Below are 9,666 nucleotides of genomic sequence, written 5' to 3' on the forward strand. Positions count from 1 at the left end.
ATGATGTGGACAGCAACCTGACACTTCTTTCAAAAGGTCTGTGCTTTCTTTCAGTTTTTTCCTGTTAATTTTCTGTGTTGCTTCTTGGAAAAAATTTACAATGTGAATCTCCACACACAATTCTGTCTTTCCAAATAGGAGAGGCATGCTAACAATGACTCTAATCTGCCATTTTGAGAAAAAAAAATACTGGAGGTCTTTATTATTTTTTTAATACTATAGCCCATTCTGAGTTTTCATTACAACCTCCACTCTAGTATTGTAACTACTTTTCACAAACCCTTATCTTTGGTAGCTGGATTTAATTCATTAATTTTAAAATTTTGATAAAAATTATGACTTAATTATATTATTATGTATTTTCATTTGATTATCTAGGTTTATGAAACTGACTAAACTAGTAATTATTTGATAATATGATTATATTCTGCCAATTCACTCTACATGTTCCTTGGATATGTTAATAAACAATAGAAACAAGTCCAACTAAAATACATCACTTATTCTGACTCTTGTTTTGAAAAATAAAACCTGACAAATCAAATAAAAGTAAATGAATTATTATTCAGACATCCACTTATGGTTTGGGTATATATTTTGACAGTCCATGAGAAAAATTCCTCCAAGGGTCTTCACTTCCAGACATAAAATCACTTTGTTGTTTTTCTAAAAGCTATTTTTAAAAAAATCAGCATCTTTTTAAATTCTCCCATCTATAAGTTGGCAAAAATATCTGTTGAGGTTTGTAAGCAACTTTAACATTTTAAATAATAAATGTAATATTTAGGGACAATTTAATTTAGTGACTCAAGGCATCTAATATTTGGTATCAGTATATGAATATTAACAAACATTTAGCCCTTTTATTTATAGTATTTTTTATAGTAAAACAATTTCTACTTTCTATTATGCTTCTTGTTCTGTGATAGTTTACTATTTCTGAAACTTTATTTTTTACAAAATTTCAAGTTGAGTCTAAAAAAATTATATTTTGTTGTTTTGAAAAATACATAGCCTAAAACTTTACATGCTAACAGTTGAGTTTTATCAGTGTTATTTTTACTAAACCTAATCACTATAAAATAGCTATATCTTGTGTATGTTAAAAATGTGAAATAAGATGAGAATGTATTTGCTATACAATTAATTAAATTATATGAATTAGTAGCAACTATTAAGATGCTTTGAATATTCCCTTAGGTGGACGAGAACATGTGAGCAAGTACTAGCACAGTGGTAGATGCTTTGTAAATTGCTCTTACTTTCCTAATGATTGACAGGCTAATAGCTAAATAACTAAGATATTATAAGCACTTTCTTAGAATTTAGAGATCCACTTAAAAGACAGGTTTTCATTAGGAATTTCTGTACTTTATTTCACATTTCCATAAAAAAAATCCTCATTGCAAGAACCACTGCACCTATTATATGAAAAAACTTAAGAGAAAACAATCAGGTGACCATTACCTCTAAAACATCTGATTTGATTTAGTTATCCTATAGGAATCAAGTATCAGGCTTTACAAGATCCTCTTTTTTCAATGTTGTTTTACTGACTAAAACAATGTTTAACATGACTAATTCACGTTTCTTTTTGTGATTTATTTTTACTTGATCTAATTTCTAAAGTGATCTTTATGAGGTGTCTTGCCTAAAAATTTGCCTATACTTATAAATGCATTTTCACTTACTACAACCTCATTTTTTACTGTACTATAGATGTACAGTTAGTTGAATGCATACATAATAATTTTGAGAATATATGAGGTTTTACATAAGAAGAATCATATTGAAGTGGTTATCTAGCATATCTAAAGAGGAAACAACAGAGAAGCAAGCTGGAAACAATATGTAGACATCAGTAATTATTTTAATTTCACAAGACAAACATTTATCAATCCTGTATTCAAAACCTACATATATGCTACTTAGGATGCAGAAATAGCTATGTATATTCATTGCCACCAAGTCATTTATGATCCAATTGAAGGGCAAATACAAACACAATGAAGTTTCTTTGTGTAGCAATTACACAAATAAAACTTTATAAGCTTGCCAAGAAAAGCAAGAACGAAGAAAGGAAAGAAGGAAGAAAAACAAATAGCAAAACAGAGCAATATTTAAATGTGGTTATGATTCAGCCAACCATTACATTTAATGATAATGTGCCTGTTTGGGAAAGAAAATAGAAGAATTAACTGAATGCCAAGGGGAGGGGGAAGGAACACAAGAAAAAATCAAAACAAAATAAAACTGTGAAAGATAATTAATGGGAATAGAAAAATTATGTACAAAAATCATTTTATTTGGAGAGTAATTTAGGAGATCTTTAGGAATATATTGGCTATATTCAAGTTCCTATACTTAAGTGCTACACAATAATAATTAAAGGTACCAGATTTAGTAAAGGGATTTTGCACCATGAATTTTTTTTCCTGTAAAGATACAAATATATCTCCTTAGTAGAACAGATAACCTCACAGATTTATGACACTGTTATATATCAATCTATATTTATTTATTTAACCAAGCAATCTTAATGTTATTTTGCTAAATTGCTTCTAAATGTCCCAGTTTCTCAGATTCCCTTTGTGTCATTTAAAACATCTATTTGTTATTTATTAATTCAAGTTAATATCTTTAAAACCTATTCATTTTATATTTGTCTGAGAGCTATGATTTTAAGCTTCTAAAAATTATATTTTAATAGAAATCAGGGACTAGTTACCTTTAATCTGGGGGAGATACTACGTATTTTAAAGCCTGAAGTCAATGTCTAGACAAAAGTTTCTGCTTAACATCAAAGGGTATGCAACATTTGCTGTGGCTCTCAAATATTAAGAAAGGAAAACATAACTGGGAATTTGTCACTAGCACTTTATTCTTTACTCAGGATTGAAGTAGAATTTTATAACACCAATATTTTTTAGAAACTTTAAACATTAGAAATAAAATAAAAACTAGCCCAATTCCAATATTCCCCATGGATTTCCTAGCAGAAGAAATGTGAAACTGTTATGGAGAAATAATCCAATACTGCAAACACAAGGATTTGCCACTACAGAAACTAACAAGTTAAATTGAAAACTATATTAAAAATAAATTCACAAACAAAAATTACAAAATACACAATGAAAAATAATATACATGCCAGGCGCGGTGGCTCACGCCCGTAATCCCAACAATTTCGGAGGCTGAGGCGGGTGGATCACCTGAGGTCAGGAGTTCAAGACCAGCTAGGCCAACATGGCAAAACCCCGTCTCTACTAAAAATACAAAAAATTGGCCAGGCATGGTGGCAGGTGCCTATAATCCCAGATATTTGGGAGGCTGAAATAGGAGAATTGCTTGAACCTGGGAGGTGGAAGTTGCAGCGAGCTGATATTGCACCATTGCAACCCAGCTTGGGCAACAAAGTGAGACTCTGTCTCAAAAAAAAAAAAAATACCAACAATAAGAGTCAGCAGATGTAAAACAGCAGAATTAAAAGTATGTGTAAAAATAGATGAATAATTTGAAAAAAATTATAAAATTAATAATATGTAATGAACATATATAAACACTAAAGACATTTAAAAAGAAATGAAGAGCAGATTTGGCAAAGGATATCCAAAAATAAAAATATAGTAATTGAATTTAAAAACCTATGAGATATGGATGATTAAAATTAGTATAATAAATATATATCACAGAGAAATAAAGTTATCAACATAGAGCAAGACGGACAAAAAATATTATTATATTAGATAATTTGAGTGCATTTAAGATGGTATTGAGGCAATATCTAGAGGTAATAACTGGAAATTTTCTGTAAGTCATTAAAGAAAAAAAATTTTCACATTCAGGAATTGGACAATTTCTGAACAGAATTGATAAAAATAAATCCAAACTAGAAAGAACACTGATTTGGTGAATATTTTAAAAAGAAGCTAGTTCACTGAAAAACTAATACAATACTGCAATGGCATACCAAGTTCCAAATGCAAAATATACAGTGCAAGATAGAATACTATACACAGCGCTGAGACTTTTTGGGTCTACAAAATTTTAAGAAAGCACACTCATGGATTCATTGAACAACTGTTTTTAAAGTAACAAAGAAAGAAAAAAGAAAACACTAAAAAAGACAAGTGTGAGAAGCAAGTGGCAACTGTAAACCTGTTAAATGTAAGGGTAAATCTAAATAAGCATTAATTATTTAAAAATGTGAGGTCAGGAGTCCAGTCCCACCTGGGTAACAAAGTGAGGCATGAGTTACAATTAAAATACTAGAAAAGTATTGACCATTTCAATTAAATGTTTCTTTCAAATCACTAATTATTTTCATGTTCCAAAATATAAAGGTTAATTTTTTATTCTCATTTTATTGATCTATCAGTAGTCTCTTTTTCTTTAATTAAAAAACAAACAAACAAAAACACATAAACAAACAAACAAACAAAACCAGTTTTTTTCTTTGGCTTCCAGAACACGTCCTCTTGGCTTTCTTCTTATGTCTTTGTATGCTATTTCTTAGTCTTTGGAACACTTCTGTGTCCACCCCCACTCCCTTGATGAGTTGTCACAGAGCCATGGTTTACAATATTGTTTATGCTAAGAACTTGCAAATTTGTACCTCTACCTCTTACTTCTCTTCTAAATGCCAGGCTCTTACATCCAACTTCTTATGCTGTCTTCTTTTGAGAAGCTAATAAATATCTCAACTTTGAAATGCACATTCTCACCAACGACCATTTGTCTCAGAGCAAAAATCTTAGAGTCAATCCTGCTTATTTTCTTTGTCAAGAATTGCACATCCAACCTTTCAGCGAGTCTTGCTGCTTGCTCTACCTTCAGAATCTATCCAAAGTTAGTCACTCTCTTAGTCTCTCCCAGAAACAGATCCCAGTAAAAACATTCAATCAGAAGTAATTTGGGATGTAGAGAAAAACTGTATTCTTTTTCTTCCCTCAGCCTTTTGATGTGTTTATTTCAATGCTATTTTTACAATGTTACTTACTGAATACATTAATTAAAATTGTAATCTGCCACTATTACTGTGTATCCTGCCTTACTTTATTTTCTTCACAAAATATATAACTTTTCAACACCTGTCTATATTTTATTTCTTTTGTGTCATCCTATATCTGACTGTAATCTTTACAAAGGCAAGGATTTTTTTCTTTAATATCCTAAATGTAGATGTTTGTCTCTAGTAGATTCAATGGTGCCTCCCAAAATATGATAAATATGCACATATCTTTCCATATGCTAGCCCACAGAAACTGTAGATGTGACCTAATTTTTTTGTATATATTAATAAGGATCTTGAGATGACATCATACTGGATGATCCTAGTGCACCCTAAATCCAATAAGTGTTCTTATGAAAGACAGAAGAGGAGAAGATACAGAAAATAGAAGGCTATTTGAGGATGGAAGCAGAGCTTGGAGTTATGCAGCTACAAACCAAAGAATGCCTTGAACCACCAGCAGCTGAAAGAGGTAAAGTAGGATCCACCCATAAACACTTGAGAAGGAAAGTGGGCCTACCTATACCTTGATTTCAGATTTCTGCCCTACAGAACTGTAAGAGAATATATTTCTGTTGCTTTAAACATTTACGTTTGTGGTAATTTGTTATAACAGATCCAGCAAACTCATATACTGGCACTGAGCAGATATTCAATAAGAATTGATTATGAATTATAGTCATTATGATAGTGTGGCATTGACTCAGAGATGAACAATTTGTTCACTGGACTATAGCAGGAAATTCAAAAATTCATGGACGACTTTTGATATTTTACATATGAATTGTCATGTCACCCAGAAAAATGAATAACTATTCATAACATAGCAGTGATGCATTTGATTAACATATAGAAAAATTGTAAATTGTATTCTAACATCACATTAACTTCAAATGTGAAAGATATCTTGTATCACTTTTAAAGAAAATATAAAATATATTTTATTTAGTAAAATTGAATTTGTAGAATGATGACTTTTTTTTTTACTTTACTGCTTAATACTTGAGAAATTTTCCTCTTTGATGAGGCTGTTAGAAAACAGGAACTCTAACAATTATATAGTGGGAAGATAAATTCATACAACGACTTTGGAAAGCTACTTGACAATGTAAGGATGAAAGTGCCCAAAGTTGTAAAATTTCCCTGCTCTATGTCTATCCTATGAAAATTCTAATATATATAAACAACAAAACCATAAATATTTATTGTAGCTTTGTTTTTAACATTTACAATGGTAAATATAAAAATGCCAACATTTCCTGATATGAAAATTGATAGCTTTATATTATATATATAATGAAATCCCATATAGAAATTAAACAAAAACGGATACCCAAGTATCAGCTGCAATGGTTCTCAAAAATATCATAGTGAGATTATAAAGCATGTGTTGAAATAATACAGATAAAACAATAACATCTTATTTAAATTTGAAGATACAAACACTACCGTATGCGTTATAAAATATTCTATACACAGACCTGTACTTAAAAATAGAGAAATATACAAGGGGATGCTAAACAATTTTAGCCTGTAGTTATCCCTTGTAGAATTTCTTATAATCTTGTTTCTGGTTATGTTGCTGTATCAATTATTTTTCATGTTTGGGTATGTGTGAAATATTTCATAAAAGGAAGTTGGACGTTTTAATAATACATTGACTTTAACAGGAGGAAGAACAGGTGATTGGGGTATTTTGTTGTATACCAACACATGACTGAAATAATCATCTATTCTAATTCTGTTCAGTTCAGTGGAAAGTCTTTGAAGGTTTTTTAACAGAGTTGCAGTTTGTCATATCTTTGAGAACATTGTGTTAGATTAAGTGGAACAGAAATGCTTAGAGGGAAGGAGATTAAAATAATGTGTTGTATGGATATTTGAGGTGACATACAATAGAACTGGAAAATAGAGAAACTTCATGAAAAATAGTATAAAAAGAGACATAAATGACTTACCAATTGACTCTGCTGTGTTTGATAGATGGGAATTGTAGTCGTAACATTGGATGAAATAGGAAAGACAGACTAGTAGAGCTCTTTGGAGGCAAGTTCTATAAGTTCTTTTTACATTTTGAGTGGAAGTTTTCACTTTTAAATGAAATGCATATGGATAAAAAATAAAGGTAAATATAGTTATTATGAAATTGTCAACATAAAATGAGAGTTGATGCATAAAAATGAACAGACTGGAAAAAGGGAACTTTTTAAATATAAAAAAAATTGCTTCTTTTCTGATAGTATTCTTTCTTCTTAAACTTCATGATTATTCCTGGAAATTAAAGTGAAAAAAACTATCATAAAACTATGACTCTATCATACTGTAACATTTCAGGGCCCACATTATTATACCTCCTCTCTCCATCTTGCATGACTGTTTAAAATGGTTCTGTTTGATACACTGACACTCAATTTCTTTTTATATGGAATGTAATTTGGGAGATTCTCTAAACAATCTGTATAATGGCAGACATGGAGTACAACTGAAATTAGAAATATTCTGTTGTAGTTTCCATTCTTTCTTAAAGGTTTTAACATTTTGTTATGAACATGACAAGCCTTATTTTTTTTTCCACACATAGAAGGAACACGAATTATAAATAGAACAAAACACTGTGAAATACTGCAAATGTAGAATAATTATTTGATCTCATGCACACACCTCGGTAATTTAAATTAAATTCTATAAGTTAATGACTAAATATTTTAAAATTAACTACTTTAAATTAAGATGTATTTAGAAATAATTTTAATGTTATTGAAATTTTTTTAAAAAACCTATTGTAACATAAGAAATCATGATATAATGCAAATACTACATATTTTCAGAAAATTTGGTAATGAATATCAACTCCCAAAAAACCATCTTAGTCATTGCATAAAATTCTACAAATGATATCTGATTTTAATTTAGAGGAAAGTACATGAACTGAAAGTCCCAACTGAATAAATGCTTAAAAAAGGATGATTTAAAAAAAATTAAAGGTAACATTTATTAATTAAAATAATTCTGATAGAAAATCCTAACAATGTACATTATTGTCTAGATTTATAATTCCGTAAATTAAATATACATCCCCCTGCAAGTGGCAATACTTCAAAAATTAATTCTAGTTTACAATTTAGTATAAAATAATGTATTAAAAGTGTCCCTGAAAGATGGAGTTTAATGGAGAAAAATGAGGAATATTATGAGTATCAGGACATGGAGAAGAGTAAAAAGTCAATATTGTGGGACAAATTAAATGACATAAAAAATCACCTTTTTTCATTTGATATAATGTAATGGTTATAAAATATCTTCTCAAGAGTTCTTCAACTGTCATTTCATTGAGATGTGGGGACTGGGGTCTCTGACCTTGAATCTGGGGGGACTTTTAACTTCTTTGACTAAGAGAATACAAAAAAAAGCAATGCTGTGTAACTTTTGAGACCTGGCCTAAATCGACAATCTGACTTCTGCTCACTTTTTTTCAGAATCCTCCATCTCAGGAGGGCCCCAGTATTGCCAGGCTGGGAGAAACCCAAACCATGAGGATAGACCATGAATAGGAGTTCTGGTTGACAATCCCAGTTCATTCCTAGCTTCAAATACACAAGGCCAAGTGCCAGATATGGGCATAAAAAGCAATTTGGAAGTGGACACTCCAGTCCCAGCTGTCCTAGCCCTCAGCTATTTGAGTTGCATTCAGACATGTAAATCTTCCCAGCTGAGGCCTCATCATTGAGGTGCAGAAAAGGGGCATGCCCACTGTGCCTGTTTCTAAATTCCTGACCCACAGAACCTGTGAGCATAATACAAGTTTACTATTTTATACCAGTAAGTTTGGGGTATAGTATTATGCAACAATACAAGCTGATGCACAAAAAATATCTTCTTTGTTGCATAAACTCTATATAAACTGGCATATGCTTAGTTCTTAAACCTCTCTCCAATCTCCTTCTCTTTCCCCATACTCAAACTAATCTTTTTTTTCTGCTCCTTCAACAAACCAGCACTTGTATTTACACATTAGATAAATTGCACCATTAACTTAAAAAACACAATTTCCAAGATTTTTACAATACTGTGTCTTATAGTTTAAAGTATCTCAGCCTTTAAGTATCACTTGTTAGATAACATTTAGTTGCCAATCTTTTTATAATTGCTTTCTCTTACTCTACTCCTTAGCTTACAGTCCTTTCTGCCATATTTATCGTATTTGTATAACAGATCAAAATCTGTGGTTATCTATTTATTTACCTAATTTTCAGCTCTCTCCACTTATTATCATATAAGTTACAAACATTTCAGGTCATATCTTCAGTTTACCACACTATACCAGTAGCTTAAATATCACATTACCCATACTAGCCACTCAAAAATATTTATTATGGAATTAATGGAACTCTAAATTTAATCTGGTCTCCAAACTAAATATATGGCATAAGTATCAATATAGGTTTCAGGTAGATAGGGTTTAGCTATAAGGAATACAGGGTGCAACTAAAAGCAGTTTTCACAGGCAAGATGTTTACTTACTTCTACAAAAGAAAGAGTACAAGCCAGGACAGGATAAGAAGAGCAGCCACACAGGGACGCTGAAGATTTGTTATACACATGTAGGGACATTAATAGCATTTCCTTAGAAAGAGGTATGATATAAGATAGCATGA

This window comes from Homo sapiens, chromosome 21 (genome assembly GCF_000001405.40).
Source record: "Homo sapiens chromosome 21, GRCh38.p14 Primary Assembly".
In the NCBI taxonomy this organism is placed as follows: Eukaryota; Metazoa; Chordata; class Mammalia; order Primates; family Hominidae; genus Homo; species Homo sapiens.